General features: G+C 49.1%; 1 long non-coding RNA gene and 1 pseudogene across 3 annotated transcripts, besides 2 other annotated features; both read right to left on the bottom strand.

Annotated features, from left to right (window-relative positions):
- Nucleotides 1-732: 732 nt before the first annotated feature.
- Nucleotides 733-21,849, bottom strand: LOC105379220 (translation initiation factor IF-2-like; annotated as a pseudogene).
- LOC124900617 (uncharacterized) lies at nucleotides 15,721-18,197 on the bottom strand. Of its 3 annotated transcripts, none has more exons than XR_007060796.1 (3): nucleotides 17,625-18,197; nucleotides 16,615-16,771; nucleotides 15,721-16,268 (listed from the first exon to the last, which is right to left on the bottom strand). It is a non-coding gene; the product is annotated as an uncharacterized LOC124900617 (long non-coding RNA). The 3 variants fall into 3 exon arrangements; XR_007060798.1 differs by having other exon boundaries at nucleotides 16,619-16,771; XR_007060797.1 differs by having other exon boundaries at nucleotides 17,687-18,197.
- Nucleotides 19,972-20,879: an enhancer, noted in NCBI's record as "H3K27ac-H3K4me1 hESC enhancer chr8:7923687-7924594 (GRCh37/hg19 assembly coordinates)". NCBI's record gives its function as "activates a minimal SCP1, AML or CMV promoter by ChIP-STARR-seq in naive and primed H9 embryonic stem cells {active_cell/tissue: H9 hESC(naive and primed)}" and the evidence as "EXISTENCE:reporter gene assay evidence [ECO:0000049][PMID:30033119]".
- Nucleotides 20,880-21,789: an enhancer, noted in NCBI's record as "H3K27ac-H3K4me1 hESC enhancer chr8:7922777-7923686 (GRCh37/hg19 assembly coordinates)". NCBI's record gives its function as "activates a minimal SCP1, AML or CMV promoter by ChIP-STARR-seq in naive H9 embryonic stem cells {active_cell/tissue: H9 hESC(naive)}" and the evidence as "EXISTENCE:reporter gene assay evidence [ECO:0000049][PMID:30033119]".

The raw sequence follows: 21,851 nt of genomic DNA, 5'->3' as shown, positions 1-21,851 counted from the left end.
TTGTGAATTGAATGACCATGACAAAAGGCTAGTGATGAGAGGTGAATCCATTTAAAAATAGGACTATGAGTGCAGAACAGAAAGAAAAGGTGGCCCACCTTAACAACACAAAACAACCTAGAAATCACTAGTTTCCAGAGGTAAAGGGAGGGACTGTAGGAAGTAGAAGTGCTAATGCCCTTTATTTAGTCAATTAATCAGGTGTAAAATTGAAACGTGGTTTTAAATATATAACTTCTTGTTTATTTTCCTCCCTAACTACCTGAGGATCAACCACCATGATGAATGACACAGCAACTATCTGGACCAGGAAGTTCATGACCAATCGACCGCTCCAGAGGAAACAAATGGTCACCAATGTCCTTCACCCCAGAAAGGCAACAAAATGTACAAGACCACAATGGATGTCATCTTCATGTTAACAGTTGGACTCAGAACCCATGTTGGTGGTGGTTAAACAATCGTCATCCACATTGGAGTGCAGTGGTACGATCTCAGCTCACCAAATCTCTGCCTCCCAGGCTTAAGCAATTCTCCTTCCTCAGCCTCCCACGTAGCTGGGATTACAGGCAAGCACCACTACTGCCTGGCTAATTTTTATATTTTTAGTAGAGATGGGGTTTCACCTTGTTGGCCAGGCTGGTCTTGAACTCCTGACCTCAAATGATCCACCCGCCTTGGCCTCCCAAAGTGCTAAGATTACAGGCATGAGCCACCGTGCCCAGCCTTTTCTGTATTAAATTTTTAAAAACACAACATTTAAAATAATCAAGTCATTCTTTTTCAATCTACTTTGTATTATAGGTATTCAAATACTCACCTATTCTCTCTCACATGATGACAAACTCGTTGAAATGTCATGTCATTTTGTGGCTCCAGCCCCAGGGATTCTGACTCTGATTCTAAAGGGCCTGCATGCAGACCGAGCAAGCCCCCTGGATGCTTCTCTTACAGGTGTTTTAAGGGCAGCAGTTTGAGACACCCTGATGCAAAAGAACGAACCCTCAAGGAAGTTGGCTGTACATGTATTTTCCTTCCTAGCACAGGAAACGACAGAAAGATTATCCAATCAGTACCACTCATAGCACCTGATTATATGTGTATGAGGAATTCAGAAATGGTTTGATCAAGGTTCAAGACCTAAAAAGAAGCTTTTCTCTCGGCCACCAAATCCCCATCTCATGCGTGGTTGAGTTAGTAGAAACTGAGGATGATGCTTCTTCCTCCAGCATTGGTATCCTATGGATTTTGTTGTTCAGTAAATGAAGTAACTCCATCCCCCAACATCCTCAAGCTCAATTCCAGTTTTCTCACGTACACTTTTTTTTTTTTTTTTTTTGAGACAGAGTCTCGCTCTGTCACCCAGGCTGGAATGCTGTGCAGAGGTGCAACCTCAGCTCACTGCAACCTCCACCTCCCAGGTTCAAGTGACTCTCCTGCCTCGGCCTCCTGAATAGCTGGCATTACAGGCATGCACCATCATGCCTGGCTAATTTTTGTATTTTTTAGTAGAGATGAGGTTTCATCATGTAGTCCAGGCTTTTCTCAAACTCTCAGCCTCAAGTGATCCACCTACCTCAGCCTCCCTAGTGCTAAGATTACAGGTGTGAGCCACCGTGCCCAGCCCCCTCACGTACACTTTTACAGAAGATCTGATCATACCCACTCTGAAGAAGTCAGAATGGCCCCCACGTGGTGTTAAACGGGAGTGAAAACTTGAGTTCAATCAACTGAGGGTGACACAGAAACATTTCCCCCAAAACGCTTTTGGCAGCTCTGCTGATCCATAACCTGGCTCCATTTCAGGGCAAGACCTCCACTTAAGCTGCACTGCCTTCCACTAGAGTAAATCACATTAACTCATGGCAAACACAACTGAAGGGCAAAAAGTTTCTTTTTAAAATGATTTTTGTCTCTCACTTACCAACACACGCTGGCCTCCCTACAGCCTGACTCCATTCAGCACCTGTTCCACTGAGCACCCACTGAAAGCTCAGCTCATGAGCTGAGATGACCCAGACATCAAGGAGTTTACAATCCAGGGGAAGAACAGACCTGAATACAAGTGATGACAATACAAGACAGAGTCAAAGAGCCCAACTTGAAGTATCAGCAGAATAGCACCAAAGACTAGTTCCCAACCCAGCTCCCAGCGCCAGAGCCAGAGCCAGGCTGGCTGCATGAGATCAGCTGGGAGCTTTTGCAAACCTAGGTCCTAGCTAAGCCCCTAATCATCAGACTGGCAGTCACTGGGAGTGAGCTTCAGGAACTGGTTTATTTAATAAGCACCCACACACACATGATTCTGATGTTCCTAAGGGTTGTAGAAACATGGAAGTATAGAAAACACTAAAAAAAAAAGGCACTAAAAGAAACCTATAAATATTCACTACCATTCCAGGCATCATGAGGACACTCCACGTGCACTCTTTACAATACTTAGAATAACCTGCAAGGGAAGCATTCATTCATGACGATGGGCTTTAGTGAGATCAGAGCCAGCCCTGGGAATGTTTGAACCTGCGCTGAAAGTCACCCCCTCCTCCCAACAGGAGGGGGCTAACATTAAGGAGCAGGGGCCAGATAGGAAATGGAGTGTCCTTTTATTATGAGACCACAGTGACAGACTTTATTTTTTTTTTCCAGAGTCTCGTTCTTTCCACCCAGGCTGGCCTCCAGTGGTGCAATCTCAGCTCACTGCAACTTCCGCCTCCCGGGTTCAAGTGATTCTCCTGCCTCAGCCTCCCGAGTAGCTGGGACTATAGGCACCCGCCACCACACCTGGCTAATTTTTGTATTTTTAACAGAGACAGGGTTTCACCATGTTGGTCAGGATGGTCTTGATCTCTTGACCTTATGATCCGCCTACCTTGGCCTCCCAAAGTGCTGGGATTACAGATGTGAACCACCACGCCTAGCGTCAGACTTTCAAGTAAAGCCACAATGGACCACAGAACTTAGACATCAGGGCTAACATGGAATCTCTGTCATTAAATCTTGAGATCTTACTATCTTTGGTCAAAGAAAAAAATAATCACAATTGACATTTTGAGGACAAGACATCTGAATGTAAACTTGATCTTAGAGGATATTAAGGAATTACTGCTAATTTGATTAGGTATGACAATGATCATATAAAAAATGCCCTCATGTTTTTAGAGGGAAAGTAAATTATGTAGGGGTGAATATCAGGATGCAATTAAATAACTACTGTAAACTATTTTGTAAATACTTCAGAAAAACAAATGGAGTAAATATTGCAAATGTTAATAGTTTTTAAATCTATGTGATGGGTATATGATAGCTCATTAAACTGGTGTCTCTACTTTTATGTTTATTGAAAAGTTTTCGTAATAACAATAAAAAAAAAAAAAAAAAACCTCGGCCAGGCACAGCAGCTCATGCCTGTAATCTCAGCACTTTGGGAGGCTGAGGTGGATGGAGGACTGCTTGAGCCCAGCAGTTTGAGACCAGCCTAGGCAACATGGTGAAACCTCATCTCTACAAAAAATAGACAAATTAGTCAGGCATGGTGGTGTGCACCTGCAGTCCCAGCTACTCAGGAGGTTGAGGTGGGAGGATCACCCGAGCCCAGAAGGTCAAGGCTGCAGTGAGCCAAGGTCACGCCACTGCACTTCAGCCTGGGCGACAGACCCTGTCTCAAACAAACAAGCAAGCAAACAAAAACCGTCTTGATCCCATTTCCCAAAAAAATCATTTTTTTGAGATCTTACCATCTCCTGGCTTGGTGCAGAGTACAGGAAATCAAGACAAAGTACAGCACACAAGGAATAAGGAGGGAGGGAAGCATGGGGGAGGCTGACACCGTGGACTCTCCCAGCTCAGTCGACCCATGCGTCTTGCTTCATGGAAGAAAGGAATGGAAGATGAATCATGCCTTCAGCACACAGTGACCTTCCTCACTAGTAAATGTGCCTCCAGAAGTGTCCAAGAACTCAGTGCCAGAGCCAGGCTGGCTGCATGAGAATCACCTGCGAGTTTTTGCAAACATAGACCCCTACTGGCTCCAAATGTATTCATCTCTTGGAGAGGAGGAGAGAGGCAGAACAAGGAAAAGGATGGGAAGAAACCAGCCTTGTGCACAGGAGGATGCTGGGATTCCTCCTGCAAGTTTAGCGCAATGCAGCCTATTTTACAAGGTCACAGAAGCTCAGAGATGTAAACCTGCCCAGGTTCTCATAGCTTGTAAGTGGCAAAACCCGCCCAAGTCTCTGTCTCTAGAGATATTTCCACTTGCTTCAACTCTGGAGCTGTCTTAGTTGTAAAGATGACAGATTCCACTCCTCACTCACTTTTGTTAGCAGATATTGCCTAAGGTCCCTTGTGAATATTTAGGTCAGGGCTTTTTTTTTTTTGAGTTTTTTGTTTGTTTGTTTGTTTTTATAAAAGCAATCTTGTAGAAAGAACCCAAAGTGGCTCCCCGTTTTAAGACCCTGCAAACAGAGAGACCAGAGTATGGAGTCTTGGTCTGATTTCCACACCTTCCTTAGATTTCCCTGTGTGTAAAATCCAACAACAATCTTTGACAAATTGCCTCCCCCAGGGGAGAGATGGAGGAAGTGTTAACTTTGCTTTTTTTTTTCTTTTTTCAGACAGAGCCTCACTCTGTTTCCCAGGCTGCAGTGCAGTGGTGCAATTTTGGCTCACTGCAACCTCTGCCTCCTGAGCTCAAATGATTCTTGTGCCTCAGCCTCCCGAGTAGCTGGGACTACAGGCAGATGCCACCACACCTGGCTAATTTTTGTATTTTTAGTAGAGATGTGGTTTCGCATATTGGCCAGGCTGGTATCGAACTCCTGGCCTCAAATGATCCACCCTCCTCAGCCTCTCAAAGTGCTAGAACTACTATAGGCATGAGCCACCATGCCCAGCCACTTTGCTATTTTTTTAATAGACAGCTTCGAGGTCCAGTATGATTTCACAGATTAGGAAACATCACAGGCAAAGAAGAACACTTTGCACTCAAATAGTAGAATGTTTTCATTTTCAAAGAGCTCTCACCTGCCATCTAATCTTGTCTTCCTAGCAGTCCTGGGAGAGAAGTAGATGTGGTTTCCAATCCCACTTTCCAAAAGAGGAGACTGAGGCAGAGGCTTTGCAGATACACAGAGGACATGTGAGGACAGGTGAAGGTCATGATCATTGTCAGCGCCCTCCCCCAACTTGACATTCCCAGACCTAGTGGACTTCCAAACACAGGAGACAGAAGAACTGATCAATCAATTCTGCCATGGGTGCCAGGACCCAATTTTTCCCTGGCTAACTCGGTCACATCCTGTCTGGGATCTCCAACTATTATCCATCCCACAAGTCTCAGCTAAAACAGGAATTCAACGGGGAACATTTTTCTGAGGCTCCAGGATTGGGCTAGGCCCTCTCCATGGCTCTCTGACCTTCCCCTACTGCAGAACGTAGCACCTGTATGTCACTATTTGTTCAAACATGTGTCTTTCATATGCTCTCCATGTTGTCTGCAGCATCTGCCAAGAATAATAATGAATGGTAAAACCTAATTTCTATTGAGTGCCGATGATGCACTTTTAATGTGACATCTTATTTAATCCTCACTATATCTGCAAAAGTAGAAGGTATTAATAGCCAATTTTCAGATAAGAAAGTCAAAGCACAGTTTCTATAACTTACCCAAGCAGCTAACTAGGAGGCAGCTCAGTTTGAGCCCAGGGAATCATATTCCAGAGACCATGTTCTCCATTACTAGAGCAGGTACCTCCCCAGAATCTAGCAGGTGGTTAACGAGTCTTTGTGGCATAAATGAACAGAAGGACAACAGATGGATGGATACATAGGAGGATGGATGGATAATGGGTGGGTGGGCAGGTGGACGAATGAATGGATGGTTGAGTCAGTGAAGTGATGGCTGAGTGGGTGGAGAAATGGATGAGTGGGTGAGGGGTTGAAGGGATAAATGGATGGATGGGTGGGTGGATAGATGGTTAGATGAGTGAATGGGTGGATAGATGCATGGGTGAGCGGATGGACAGATGGGTTGGTGGGTGGGTAGGTGGATGATAGCTGGGTGCATAAGACAGTGGGTTGGATGGATAGATGGGTGGGTGGGTAGATAGATGGGTGGGTGGTTGGATGTATGCATCTCTGGATGGATGGATGGATGGATGGACGGATGGAAGGAAGGAAGGGTGGATGGATGGATGGACAGATGAACAGATGGACTTGGGCATTTATTCGGGGTCCTCCAAAGAATTGAGTGATTTCCCTAGGGTGTCTCATCACCTGCAGGTAGGTGGGCAAGGGGGCTTGCCTCTGTAATACTCATGATTATAGGTAGTGCTCAGCCTTAGTCACCACTCTCAGAACACTTTATTGACTAGGAAAGTCAAAACTGGCATTGATAACTAATGCAAATTGCAGCTATAACTAACAGAAGATGTTGAGCTGATGACAGCTGGGCAACCAATAATCAATAACTTGGCTGTGTCATATTACTGTCATGCTGGGCAGGTAGAGCCACGGATTCCTTCATCCCTCCATCACATTGAGGATGCTTATCAAGACTTCCCCAACAATGGGGACAGGGATATTATCAAATACTTGCAGTTCACCCCAAAATGCTCACCCTCTTCGTTCCACCTGCACATGACCTTCAGCTCAAAGACATTTCCAGTCCTCCAGGTCAGCCCTTCTTCCAGCCTTTGAATTAACCCTGATGACGGCCTGCCCATTAGGTGTCTTCAGCTTTCATCACACAGCCTTTTCCAAGGCTCTCCCTCAGTCCAGCCCTCACTAAACGCTGGAACTGTTGTTGACAAAATCCAGAACAAGCTGGGTGGGGGATGCAGTTGGGAAGCAGACTGTAGTAATGGGGAAAAATTCTAAGCAATCTCGATCACAGAAAAGAAACTGAACAGGTAAGAGAGAGGCAGTCAAGAGAACAAGTGTGAATTTTGCATAACTGAAGCTGAAGAAGATCGGGGGGCATGGTAGACCACAAGATAAATATGATATAGCCTCCTTTTTAAAAAAGTATAAACATCCACCCTTTCCTACTGACAACTGTGCTTCAAATATTGCTAAGGTCTTTACTAAGGGTGAGTCAGAAAAACTGGGTATTTTATGCAATACAGTAAGAAGGCCCATAGGCAAGTATGTTCCTGACAACACCTTCTAGGATAAGCCCTGAGATTCTAGTTACACCTATCCTAAAGTTGTCTCTCACTCCTGCTGTTGGAGAGCTACCATGAGAGAAGAACCATAGTAAAGTGGTTAAGAGTGTGCACCCAGCGACTGGCCAGATGGCTACAAACCATCACTATCTAATACCGAGCAAGTTACATAATGTTCCCAAGCCTCAACTTTCTCATCTGTAAAATGGGTATGTTGTCATTCATTAATCAAATTCTAGGTGAGCATATACTAAACACCAGAGACACAAATGAGAATCAGAACAGGCATGTCCCTGGCCCTTATGGTGACCACAGTCTTGAAGGGGAAGGATGACACGCACAGAAATAGGAAGCCATAGCTGAGCTAGTGTCTACCACAGAGAGGCACCTGGTGTCATGAAAGCAGATAACAGGGGGTTACTGGGACTGAGTCAGTGTGGCCAGACGTCCCTGAGGATGTAGTGACTCCACTGTCAGATGAGACCGTGACCAGGTGAAGAAGCAGGGAGAGGGAAAATTTTTCCAGGCGGAAAGAGCAGGATGTGCAAAGACCCTGTGGCAGGAAAAGAACAAAGGAAGTGCAAGAGCCTGAAAGAGGCCAGAGAGAGCAAGTGAAAATGTGGATAATCACAGCACCGACCTCATACAGGACTTGCAAGAAATCGAGACCCTGTCTGTAACAGATTCAGCAATGACTAAATAGAAACTATCTCCTAAAAGCACACGATGAGGCTCCTTGGTGGTATTTCCCACTTGAGGCTGCCATGCACTCAGAGGCCAAGTTCAACCTGTCTGTAGACAACCTCCAAGCCAGCTGGACACACATACACCCTCAGGCTCAGGATACCCAGGACAGAGTCCTGGATGCTTGAAGTCATGATAACTATCCAGAATGACACAGAATTCCAGCCAGGCGTGGTGGCTCATGCCTGTAATCCCAGCACTTTGGGGGCCGAGGTGGATCACCTGAGGTCAGGAGTTCAAGACCAACCTGGCCAACATGGTGAAACTCCCTCTCTACTAAAAATACAAAAAAAAAAAAAAAAAAAAAAAAATTAGCTGGGTGTGGTTGTGGGTGCCTGTAGTCCCAGCTACTCAGGAGGCTGAGGCAGGAGAATCGCTTGAACCAAGGAGGCAGAGACTGCAGTGAACTGAGATTGCATCATTGCACTCCAGCCTGGGCAACAAAAGTGAATCTCCGTCTCAAAAAAGAAAAAAAAAAAAATGACATCGAATTTGCTAAAGGGGGAGAAAGGGCTTTCTTCCAAAGCTGGGCCTGGTTTCTACAAAGAGTCTTTCACATGAAAATTAGGCAGCTCTTTGCAAGCACCTCAGAGGAGAACCCCTCACCCTGATGAATCAGGCACAGGGGCGGATCCAAGACAACTGGCTGCGTGCATGTGAACAAGTCTATGGTGGAAATGCAGTGCTTTATTTGTTTGTGGTGGTTTAATCACCAGGAGGGAGAAGCTTCTAAAGCAGCATTCAGAGGTGGCTGTTGCCTGGGTTTTCTGGAAGCGGGAGGCGGTGAGGATGAGGGCTTTCCTTTCATCTGCAGGCCCCTTGCAGAAGGAGCTGGGGAAAGCTTTGCAACCCTCTGCACACTGTTTGCCATCTTGTCTGGCTGGGACGCCGAGCTCCAGATGGGGGCAGATGGGATAGCTCTTGCCACCGTATTTGGAGAGAGATGGCAGGGAAGTCAGCCCCCGTGGAGAAGACAGGAGCAGGCACGTGCTGGACAGTGCTGCCCAGGCCCCTGGGGCTGAAGTGTCCAACCCCACAGCCTCTAGGTGCCACTAAAGCAGCCCAAGAGGACCTTCTCTGTCCATCTCCATCCTGACACCTACAGACACTTGGAGAGAGTCCTTCACATGGGAACTCACAAATGCACACTGATAACCCCCACACGGAACTCTCATACGTAGCAAGTGAAAAGACAGGATGCCAGCTTAACTTGAATTTCAGATAAACAACAAATCATTTTTTAGGGTAAGCAGGTCCCAAATATTGCATGGGATATATTTGCACCAAAAAAAAAAAAAAAAAAAAAAAAAGGTTAATGAGAAGTTCAGGTTTAATTGGACCTCCTGTATTTTACCTGGCAAGCCTAACCCTGCATAAACACAACCTCGAGCTTGAAACTCACAGAGAAGCCACGGCCGTGCTCACACACGTGCACAAACCCATATGCCTTACAGAGTCAAGGGCTGTGATGAGGGTCCCCACCCTTGCACACTTCTCTGTCCTCTGTCTGGGCTCAGAGTAAACAGGGGGTCACCTGGAATCCAGGTCTAAGCTGGGCTTGGAGGTGTCCTAATGAAGCAGGATGCTGACATGCACTTCCCCAGGTCAGCTGGGGCTGTAGCCAGGCCTAGCTTCCAGTCTCGGGCCTAGAACACACAGCACAGCCCCAGACCTTGGCAAGAAGGCTTCATCTCAAGGGCCACTGGTGCAGGAACTATTAGAAGCCCCACTTCTTTCCTCTGTTTCTGCTGCCATTGCCCCAGTCTCTGACCCTGCCACTCAATCACTCTATAAACACAGCAGGTACTAGGGGTGGCTCTGGGCTCAGCACTAAAGACACTGACCCTGGTAAAGCCACAGTCTAGCAATGACAGTCAACCACGTATCAGCAACAGCCCTGCCCCACACGTGCTGACTGCGCACAAGGCCGGCGCTGTGAACGTGCTCTCAACAGTGATCTCACTGAACCCTCATGGCAGCTCTAGGATGCAGACAGTAGCATCACATTATCCCCATTTTACTTTTGAGGAAACTGAGGCCTGAAGAAGGCAAATGCAGGCCTCGAGATTTGCAGTAACATTGCCAGGAATGTTTGAGAAAGCAAACTTCTCCAGAGTGAGGCAGTCTGCCAGAGCTCAGAAGCCAGAGTCCCTGTTAGCAGGGGCTGGGGGCACTGTGGGGTGGAGGCAGACAAGCAGGTAGGGGCTGGAACCCCCAGGACACCAGGGTGCAAACTGGTGTGAGTAAAAGAAAGAGGGGCTGTCATGCCATCATCTGCAGAAGATGATGTCTACAGAGGACAGTACCATGTGAGCCCTTGGGAAGCTGGATGACCGGATGGAGTTTTGCACAGGATGCAAATTGAGCACAGATCCCCCTCTGACCTAGACAGCCCACTTCCAGGAACATCTCACAGAAATGCAGGCACAGAGCACCAAGTGATGTGTGTAAGGAAATTCATCAGAACACCGTCTGTGACTGGGAAAAGGCGGAAACCCTCCAAAGACGTATCGGTGCAGGGCTGGTTAAACGAAGCGTGGTGCATCCACAGGTCAGAATAACTGCAGGGAGAAGAAGGTGGTACCCAGGTTCCAACGTGAGACAATGTCAAAGACATGCTGCCTGAAAAGCAGGCTTTCCAAAGAATAAATATAGCATTATTGCATTTTTACTTTTTTAAAAATATTACAATAAATACTTATGTGCAAATACATGTGCTTGTGTGCACAGAGGAAAAAGCTGTGGACAGAAACAGAAAACCAAACACGGTGTGTTCTCACTCATAAGTGGGAGTTGAACAATGAGAACACATGGACACAGGGAGGGGAACATCACACACCGGGGCCCATCGAGGGTGGGGGACAAGGCGAGGGAGAGCGTTAGGACAAATACCTAATGCATGCGGGGCTTAAAACCTAGTTGACGGGTTGATAGATGCAGCAAACCACCATGACACATGTATATCTATGTAAGAAACCTGCACATTCTGCACATGTATCTCAGAACGTAGAATAAAAAATAAAAAGAAATCAAAGAAAAAGGTGGGGAGAGGTATAACCCAACCCTTCCCAGTGTTACCTCTGAGATGCAAGATCAAGAAAAGCAAATCAAGAGGTAGTTTTGCTTTCTGTTTTCTATATAAATTTTTTTTTTTTTTTTTTTTTTTTCTGGAGACATAGTCTCGCTCTATTGCCCAGTCTGGAGTCCAGGGACACAATCTCGGCTCACTGCAACCTCCTCCTCACCACAACCTCCTCCTCACTACAACCTCCTCCTCAGTGCAACCTCCTCCTCACTGCGACCTCCTCCTCACTGCGACCTCCTCCTCACTGCGACCTCCTCCTCACTGCAACCTCCTCCTCACTGCAACCTCCTACTCACTGCAACCTGCTCCTCACTGCAACCTCCTCCTCACTGCAACCTCCTCCTTACTGCGACCTCCTCCTCACTGCAACCTCCTCCTTACTGCGACCTCCTCCTCACTGCAACCTCCTCCTCACTGCAACCTGCTCTTCACTACAACCTCCTCCTCACTGCAACCTCCTCCTCATTGCAACCTGCTCCTCACTGCAACCTGCTCCTTCTGGGTTCAAGGGATTCTCTTGCCTCAGCCTCCCAAATAACTAGGATTACAGGCATGCACCACCAAGCCCGACTAACTTTTGTATTTTTTGTAGATACAGGGTTTCACTATTTTGGCCACCTGGTCTCAAACTCCTGGCCTGCCCACCTTAGCCTCCAAAAGTCCTGGGATTACAGGTGTGAGCCACCACGCCTGGCCTGCATTGCTTGAATTCTCAGACCACATGGACCCTCTCATCTGGCCCAATTGCAAGAGTCCAAGGCAGGAAAGGCAGAAGGCAGGGGCTTACCCCTCCATCAGGACAACATAGAACAGAGTCAAAAAAGGAAAACATGAATGGATCAGTCAAGAGGGCCGTGCACATGCCCTCCCAGGCACCTACATCTTGCAACTTAAGCCGACAGCCTTTCAAGCCACAGAGTCTTCCTCCCCAGAGACTAGCAAGGACACAAGCCCTGGCCAGGCCCTTCCAGGAAGATGTTCTGAGGGACAAGGTGGGGGGCACAGTCAGGGGTGGCAGGAGGAAAGGGGGACACGAAGCCAAGGAAACCAGGGCACCCCATGCTTCCTGAAGGCAACTAGAACAGGGCGCCACACAGAGCCCCTGTGTACCTGTTTCTACAACAGCCTGAATACAAGGAAAAGGAAAACAAGGAAAATACACAAAGCCCAGCCTCACCAGGAGCAGGTTAAATAAAGGTGTGTGAATTTTCCTCATGTCCTTTGGAATTGGAAATCCAAGCTTCCTCTTCTGTGCCTTTAAGGTCCTGGCCGCTGCCGCACAGCTCCCTTCTCTTCCCTCCTCCTCCTGTCCTATTTTTTTTTTTTTTTTTTTTTGAGATGGAATCTTGCTCTGTTGCCCAGGCTGGAGTACAGTGGCACAATCTCAGCTCACTACAACCTCCACCTTCCGGGTTCAAGCAATTCTCGTGGCTCAGCTTCCCGAGTAGCTGGGATTATAGGTGTCACCATGTCCGGCTAATTATTGTATTTTTAGTAGAGACAGGTTTTCACCATATTGGCCAGTCTGGTCTCAAACTCCTGGCCTCAGGTGATCCGCCCACCTCGGCCTCCCAAAGTGCTGGGATTACAGATGTGAGCCACCATGCCCGACCCTCTTGTCCTAACTCTGCCATCTCTTTGCAGTCTCCCCTGAGCAGCTTTTCCTGGGCCCGCACTGCCCCCCTCCAGAGCTGCACTCTCAAACCACCCCCAATGCCCCCTGGCCCTGGCTCCTGCCCCGGGGCTCTGATCCTCAGCTGGTGAGGTCTAGAGGGTCAGAGGGAGCCAGACTCCTTAGAGAAGCTAAGGCGGGAGACCTGTGCTGGGCTGTGGTTAAACTGCCCCCTTCCAGCTGGGGCCGAATAGAAAGTGAAAGACTGCCCCCAGAATACAGGGCCCTCAGAGGCCCTGGGGATCTGTGCTGGCAGTCAGGAGGACTGTCACCTCAGTGCAGTTGCCTGCAAGGAGGGCTGTGCAGGAAGCTGCATGTTGCTCAGAGAACAAAAAAAGGAAATTAAATGCACCATCTCCTTATTAGCATGAGCTTTTGAGGCAGACACTTAAATATGCATGCCTAGACATTGTAAAACTTGGGGGAAATGTTAATTTCAATAACGCCACTTCTTGTGCTTGCAGAAACCATTCTTTTATCTCCCTTCCTAGTCATTTGCGGGCTCCATCCCTCAGAGTGGCAGCGCCAAGACAGCCGGCCTCACTGGGTTTTGTAAGCTGTGCAAGGTGAGATCCCAAGCCCTGGCCTCGAGACCCATCTTAGGAAAATGTTAGAACAGGGCAACAAGTTGCCATTTCCTCCCTCCTTTCTCTTCCCCATACAAAAATCAGAAAGCACCCTTGCCCAGTGCCCAGCCACAGTGAGGAAGAAACCCCACACAAAATCCTGGGTTGTGCCCCTGATACCAAAGACCTGCAAAATTGGGCCTCACCTGCTGCAACCTCAGCCCAGACTTGTGTACATTTCAAGGGTGGCTGGACTCATGGCCGCCTGGGACGTCAGAGTGGTACGAAGTCCTCTTAACCTAAGACTGTCGGGGTACAAGGATCAGCATTTTTTTCCTTTCTCTCCAGGGCCAGATGGTAAATAGTTCAGCTTTGCAGGCCATAGGTCTCTGTCCCAAATATTCAACTCTCCATTGTAGCAGGAAAGCAGCCACAGACAATAGGCACTGAAATGGGTGTGGCTGTGTTCCAATAAAACTTTATTTGTGTGAACAGGCAGGGGGCTGGTTCTGGCCTGTGGGCTATAGCCTGCCTCCTCTGCTACAGGGTGATCTCCAAGGACCCATCCATCTTGTAGACCAGCAGCTGGCACACAGGAGCTGCTCAGATACTTGAAGGAGGAATGGAGAAGGCAAACAGCCCCCAGTGTGCAGATGTGAGGGTCTCCCAGCGGCACCATCCTTTGCCATCTCATGCCAAGGGACAAAGCCAGAGCAGGGCTCTCCACCAAGGCTGGGTTCTCCTCCAAGGAAATGTGATAACAGGACAGAAAGCATCGTGGAAGGATAGGGGCTTTGGAGTCCCACAAACCACAGTTTGCAAGACCAGGAGCATCCTGCACTTCCTTGCACACATCCTGGGTGGGTACTGGAGCATCTAGACTTAGAGTGAATCTTCTCCCCATCCTCCCCCAACTGGCCTCCATTAAACTTCCAGCAACAATGTGGTGTATGTACACAATGTAATACTATTCAGCCTTCAAAAAGAAGGAAATCCTGCCATTTGAGACAACGTGGATGAGCCTGGAGGATATTATGTTAAGTGAAATAAGCCAGGCACAGAACGACAAATACCACATGATCTCACTTACATGTGGAATCTAAAAAAGTTGAACTCGGCCAGGCATGGTGGCTCACGCCTGTAATCACAGCACTTTGGGAGGCTGAGACCAGCAGATTGCTTGAGCCCAGGAGTTCGAGACCAGCCTGCATAACATAGCAATACCCCATCTCTACAAAAAATACAAAAATTAGTGGAGCATGGTAGTGCATGCCTGTACTCCCAGATACTCAGGAGGCTGAGGTGGAAGGATTGATTGAACTTGGGACCTCAAGGCTGCAGTGAGCCATGATCACAACCCTGCACTACAGCCTGGGCAATAGAAGGAGATTTTCTCAAAAAAAAGAAAAAAAAAAAAGAGAAGAAAAAAGTTGAATTCACAGAAGCAGAATAGAATGATGGTTGCCAGGGTGGGGAAGTGGGCAGATGCCAAAGGACACAGAATGTCATTTTTAGAGAAGAATAAGTTCAGGAGATCCATGGGACAACAAGGTACCTATAGTTAATAACAACATATCATACACTTGGAAATCACTAAGAGAGTAGATTGTTTAAGTGTTCTCACCCCTAAAAGTAAGTCTGGGAGGTGATATGTTATTTAGCTTGATTTAGCCATTTCATAATGTATACATACCTCAATCACATCATGTTGTATACCCTCTTGTACATAATTTTTGCCAATTCAATAAATTCAACAACTCCAAAAAACAAGACATTCTCTTTACAAAAATAATTATTAAAAATAAAATTCAGAATTCTATTTTATTTATTTATTTATTTTTGAAACAGAGTCTCGCTCTGTCACCCAGGCTGGCTGAAGTACAGTGGTTCAATCTCGGCTGACTGCAACCTCTGTCTCCCAGGTGCAAACGATTCTCCTGCCTCAGCCTCCCAAGTAGCTGGGATTGCAGGTGTGTGCCATCACACCTGGCTAATTTCTGTATTTTTAGTAGAGACAGTTTTGCCATGTTGACCAGGCTGGTCTCGAACTCCTGACCTTAGGTGATCCGCCAGCCTCGGCCTCCCAAAGTGCTGGGATTACAGGTGTGAACCACTGCACCTGGACAGAATATAAAAGATTGTTTAATTCAACTAAAACATTAAAACACAGATTATTTCTATAAGTGGTAATTGTTCTAACATGTTTTGGTCAAAATAGTCTCCTTACTTATCCACAATTAAATGGTTAATTGATATTTGATTGGATTTTTATAAAGTTTTCAAATCATGATTGACTTTTCCAATGTACAGTAAAATGTGTTTGAAAATATTGCATAAAAATTAATATTTAAAAATGGTCAGGCATGGTGGCTCATGTCTGTAATCCCAGCACTTTGGGAGGCCAAGGTGGGCCGATCACTTGAGGTCAGGAGTTTGAGACCAGCCTGGTCAAACCTCATCTCTACTAAGAATACAAAAGTTAGTCAGGCATGGTGGCACGCACCTGCATTCCCAGCTACTTGGGAAACTGAGGCAGGAGAATCGCTTGAACCTGGGAGGTGGGCTCCCCAGGCTTAAAGCAAAACCCCCATCTTGTCTGTCTCCACTCTCATCCCAGGCAATCGCCGTCATTTCCACAGCCTCAACCACTGTCTACCTGGGATGCCTCCCAAGCCCGGGTCGCCAGCCCAAACCTGCCTTCCTAGCCCCAGACCCATCTGTCCTGGCACACATTGCCCCCTGGGTCCCCAGCAACCTCAGCCAATGAGACCAATGCCAACTTCCTGTCCTTGCCTGACACTGTCAGCCCTGAGATCAGACTTGACCATTCACCTCCAGTACCTGATAGGTCCGTCAGTCCTTTGGAACATATCCCACGAACATTCCCCAAACCAGGCACCGGACTCCACACATCAACACCGTCACGTGAGTCACCAGCATCCCTGGCAGGGACCCCTGTCCCAGCCTCCAACTCATCTCCTTCCTGTCCCTTGAGTTCTGTGTCACATTCCAGAGGCCACAAGAAGAAAAATGACCACCTTAATGAAATTAAAAGAATTGAGAAGACATTTCTCTATGGTCCAAAATCTTTCCAACTGAGAAACACATATCAGGATCCAGCCTGCTGGCCCTGTGGTTAAATGTTCCTGAAATAATTAAAGCCCAGGGCAACACAGCCCCCACTCCACAAGTACTCCCAGCACAGTAAGACTTGCTTCTCTACAGGGGCTTGAAATGTCCAGTGTGTACCCTGCCCCTCTCTGTCGTAGCTAACAGGAATGTGCTCCGTGTCTTCTTCCTGCTCAAAGGACCGTCCACCAACCTGCGCAGGCAGCACTTTCGGCAAGGGGAGGATGGGAGAACATCCTACCATTTCCCACTTACTCACTGCATTCATCAGGAGCCTGCCTCACAAATTACAAGAGCGCCACGGCAGACCCACGATGTTCCAGCGGGTGGCCATGTCTTCATGTCAACTTGAAAGATCATCGCCAGGGAAATATCTATATCTCGGCAGAGAACTTCAGCCTGTGTAGTCCAGCTGTGCTCAAATGGAAATCCAAAAACCCAGATGTTGGTCAAAACACCCTGTCTCAGGGAGCTGGCTCTGCAGGTCCCCAGTGTGAGAGTGAACTGGGTGGGCCACCTGACCTGTCTACCCACATCCCGGCCTCCTGGAATCCTGGACCCTGAGAACCAGGGGGATGTGGTGGGGAGCAGGCAAGTCTTGTGCAGAAAGCCAAGATGCCACCCAAATCCACTCTGCAGTCTAGGAGGGCGATATTCTGGTCTGCACCACACCAGTGCACGAGGGGATGGAGGATGGAGTCTAGACAAGCCAAATGTAAAAATATATTGTCCAAGTATTTTGTGCTTTGTCTGTGTTACAATGCGATGACAAGCCCAGTGTGCTGGCTCACACCTGTGATCTCAGCAACTTGGGAGGCCGAGGCAGGCGGATCACCTGAGGTCAGAAGTTTGAGATCAGCCTGCCCAACATGGTGAAACCCCATCTCTACTAAAAATACAAAAATTAGCCAGGTGTGGTGGTGGGCACCTGTAATCCCAGCTACTCTGGAGGCTGAGGCAGGAGAATCACTTGAGCCCAGGACGTGGAGGTTGCAGTGAGCAGAGATCATGCCACTGTACTCCAGCCTGGGCAACAGAGTAAGACTCTGTCTTAAAAAAAAATTAAATAAATAAAGGCTATGCCCAGTATTTTCCATGTACTGTCTTATTATCTCAGTAAATCCCATATAACCTTCCTATGAAAGTGTATCTCATTTATCTCCATTTTATAGATGAGAAAACTGAGGCCCCTGGAGTAGTATTAATTTTCCAAGACAGCATTGCTCATAAAGGGTACAGCAGGGACCCAAGCTCGACACTCTCACCCTCAAACATTTCCACAAGTGTAGACCAATGGCTCTCAACTGTGGTGGTTTTCCTCACGTACCACTCCCTTGCCCCACAGCATTGAAACCATCTGGAGACATCTGGGGTAGCCATAGCTGGGAGGGTAGAATGGCACCTAGAGGATGGAGACCACAGATGCTGCTAACCGTCCTACAATACACAGGATGCCCCCCCACCACCACCACGAATGGTCTCACCCCAAATGTTGTGACTGTGCCAAAGCTGAGAAATCCAGGTTTCTCCTCAGCAAGAAGGAAAATACCTGCAACGTGGATGCACCTCTACAGGAGCCCCAGGCTGACAATAACCTTCCTGATCTGGTTTCAACCCTGGATGCTTTTACCTGGTGCGTCCATCAGGGATTTCAGGGACTCCAGTGAGTTATCACCCTCGAATGCTCGGTTCTGCCTGACAACCCAGAAATCTCTGCCAAGGTGCCTGGTCTTGGGGAAGGCTCAGCAAGCAGTTGAGGTTGACAACCAAATACCTAGGAGAGACTTTTCTCTGTCTCCAGAAGGAGCTGTGGGTCAGACACACCCTGAGATCATTCACAAGCGGTCAATAAAGGCTTGGGGAGGGGCAGATTTTCTAGGCCTTCTCAATGGGGTGGGTGTTTGTGGATACACAAGAAGCCTGTGAAACTTCTGATATTGGCAGGAAATCAATGCCCCCATCCTCCACCCCCACCCCCACCTCCCCACCATAAACACATGCCCTGCAGCAGGACTTGACACTCAGGGGCTCCTGGGGTCCCGATTTATCTGCTAAAACATCCTCTAGCCACCACCGAATAAAGCAACCCCTTGCCACCCAACCACAAGAGCACTGCCTGGGAGCCACTCTAAGGGACACCAAGTCACATTAAAACCTCAGCCATCCAGAGCACCAGGCCTGGTGATGAGAAAGAACATTTTATCCTTAAAAGCATCTGAATGCCCATGCTGCTTCTTGCAGAGAAAAGTCCAAAATAATCTGTTATTAAAGAACGAGGATGGTTTTGACATTTTTACCAAGCTAGTGGTCTACGCAGACAAAATCTCATAAAAGGGCACTCTGTTCTTCTTGATCCACTCAGACATGGCCTGTGAGTGAAGAAACGGGCTCTCCTCCTCAAAGAAATCACTGCTGATCCTCGTACCAGCCTGACACTGCTTCATGGGTTCTTCAAAGAGAGTATTCCCATAGGAACTAAAAGGGAAGAGGAATGTGTCTGGCGGGCATTGTGGGCAGCAGTGGGCTTTGGGCCAAATTTTAAGTTTGAAAATCAAGATTCCCTCTTTTCAAGGGGCCGCCGGACTGAGCAGATACAGGCACCGTGAAAAGAGCGTGCCATGTTCAGATTCAGGAAACAAGGATGGTTTCTGTTCAGTTCCTCCATCATCCTTCAGGTCATGCGATTCCCATTTCCCTCTGTGGACCAAACAATTCAGTGGGGTTTCTGCCTTTTAAACATTTCATTATCAACATATCATCCTTTTAGCCTCCAGAAAGCATTTTAACATGGAGATTCTGGCTTAAGACTTTTGTGGGTCTGTCTCTCTCTCTTTTCCTTGAAACGGTCTCACTTTGTCACCCAGGCTGGAGTGCAGTGGCATGATCACAGCTCACTGCAGCCTGACCTTCTAGGCTCTAGCAATCCTCCCACCTCAGCCTCCCAAGTACTTGAGACTGCAGGCACTCACCACCATAACTGCCTTTTTTTTTTTTTTTTTTTTTTTTTTTTTTTTTTTTTTTTTTTTTTTTTGGTAGATATGAGGCTTCACCATGTTGCCCAGGCTGGTCTTAAACTCCTGGGCTCAAGTGATCCCCCCCTTTCGGCCTCTCAAAGTGCTGGGATTATTGGCTTCAGCCACCATGCCCAGCCAAGGACCTTGTCTCTTGTGACGTACTCCAGAACAAAACATCACTGAAAAACACACCAAGGCATGAGTTTTAGTCCTAAGTCCCACTTATCCACCATACACTATGTGCCAGGCACAACGCTAAGTGCTTCTATGGACGAGCTTCCCTTAATCTCAGCAGCAACAACCCCAGGCAATGGAGCCTGTTGACAGATCCATTTGCCACTGAAGACAGTAAGGCTCAGAGAGGGTAAGTGGCTTGTGCCATGTCAGCCAGCTAAGGAGGGGCAGAACCAGGATGCAAACCCCAGCCGCCTGGCTCCAGAATCGCGTTCCAAAGGTCTCACTACAGTTGGTCACTCCACCGCATTCTGGTATCCTGGTCTTTGGCAGAGTCCACGTAAAAGAGGGAGGTAGAGGGAGTGAGAGGGACTTCATGCAATAAAGTTTCCCGGCGTTACACTGCCACCGTAATTGTGTCCCCAACCAGGACCTCTCCCTTCTCATCCTTTCCGTGATCGGCCCTGGAAAACCTTCCAAAGAACTGTCCTCCTTCTCCCGGGATCTCAGAGAAAATTCACCTGAGTTCAGTGTCCAGGTGACCCAAGCTCTGAATGCGGTAACGTGGACGGGGAGATGAGGATGTCACCATGAGCAAGCCTCCCAGACAGCATCCAGGAGCAACCCCAAGACTGGGCAGGGGGGCTCTGATGCCGCCCACGGCGAGGAGGGCTGCCCATGCTGCCTAAATGGGTTCAGAATGAAGACCGCCCTCTCTCCCATGTGGGGCTCATTAACCATGAATCCAATTATTAAGACAAGCTCAGCTGAGCAAATGGTCAAACATAAAAACATGTGGAAGGAACAAAGAGGTCAACCCCATTATCCATTAAAAACCATCAAGGTGGCGGCCCTCACTGAGGGGTACAGTTCTCCAGCGGGCCCTCATCTGCCCTCCAAACCCACATGCCTCCCCAGTGGAAGGCCAGCAAAGCCACACAGGAAGAGTTGGGGTAGGAAAGCCGAAAGTGAACCCCAGGAGGCCAGCCTGGCTACGCAGCCCCATCCCACACACACTGGCCCGGTGATTCAGGGGCCAACGTTTGCAGGACACCAGGAGCTCACAGGGACAGCGCCCCGGGGATGCAAGGAACTTTGCCTCTCTGTCCCTCTCTGTAGGGATGGAAAGAGGAGAGCGATTTCTGGGATGGAAGCCATCTGCCTCCTCTCAACTCTTGCTGCCCAACCAGAAAGGGAAGAAAAACAGGAAGATGCGGGACGGGTGAGGAGCTGGGTGAGTGCCGCCAGCCCGCAGTCCAGCAGAGCAGGGCTTGGCCAAGCCTGGCGCCAGGGACTTCCCCCCTACCCCACCACAGGCCCCTCGCCAGGTGAGAGGCACCGACAGGGTCCCAGACAGATGCCCCAGACAGGATGCCCAGCGCAACAACCGCCACTTCCCCTGCTAGGGGCCCCCAGGACGCGGGGCTGCCCCTCTCTTTTTGGCCAGCCGCAGAGTCCAGCGGGTCTCCCAGCCAGGGACGTCGTGGGAGAATCAGGAAGTCAAAGCCACACAGCCGAGAAGCGGCAGCTGGCGTCTCGGAGGCCGTCACGCGCTGTCACTCCGCGCCCTTCGGAGTTGCCGCTAAAATACCAACTTCAACCCGAGGCCGGCCACTGAGCCTCCCGCCGCCCCTACCGGCGCCCCCGGCACCCCCGGACCCCGGCGCCCGCGTCACTTACTCCTCTGCCTTCGCCACCTGTCTGGGTGCCGGTCTCCTCCCTGCCTGGCCGCGGCGCGTCCTCCCCGTCCTCGCAGTCCTCGGGTTCTGCGCTTCCCCCCTCCAGCTACAGCCGCAGCCTCTTCTCTTCGGGAGGGACGTCGTCCTCCTCCCTCCTGGGCCGGCCATCCCTGCCTCGGGGCTTGCCAGTGGCTTCGGAGCTGCCGGAAGGGCTGGCCACGGCTGGGGGGCTCTGCCTGCACCTGGAGAAGAGGAAGGATACGGCGCGAGCGGCCTCTCGGCGGAGCTGGGGCGTCTGAGCGCGGGCTCGGTGGGTCCGCCGGGCGCGGGGCTGGGCATAGCGGCCGGCGCGGGCTCCTACGCGGGCCGCTCCTGGCTCTCGCGCCCTCTGCTGGCCGCTCGCGCGCACCGCGGACAAGCCGGGCCCTGGCCTGCGCTGCACTCACCTGCCCCCGCCCAGGCAGTCGCTGTCCCCTGCCTGTGGCCAGACCCGCTCTGGCCAGGCCCTGCACCTCCTCCCCACCCCAGCCAGGTTGCACCCCGATGGTCTCCCTGCCCAAGGAGGAGAGAAGAGAAGGGAAGCCCCGAGAGGGTGGACATCGGCCACAGCCACCTTGTCTTTGCT

Source organism: Homo sapiens, chromosome 8 (genome assembly GCF_000001405.40).
Source record: "Homo sapiens chromosome 8, GRCh38.p14 Primary Assembly".
Classification (NCBI taxonomy): domain Eukaryota; kingdom Metazoa; phylum Chordata; class Mammalia; order Primates; family Hominidae; genus Homo; species Homo sapiens.
This window is presented reverse-complemented; position numbering and strand designations above follow the sequence as displayed.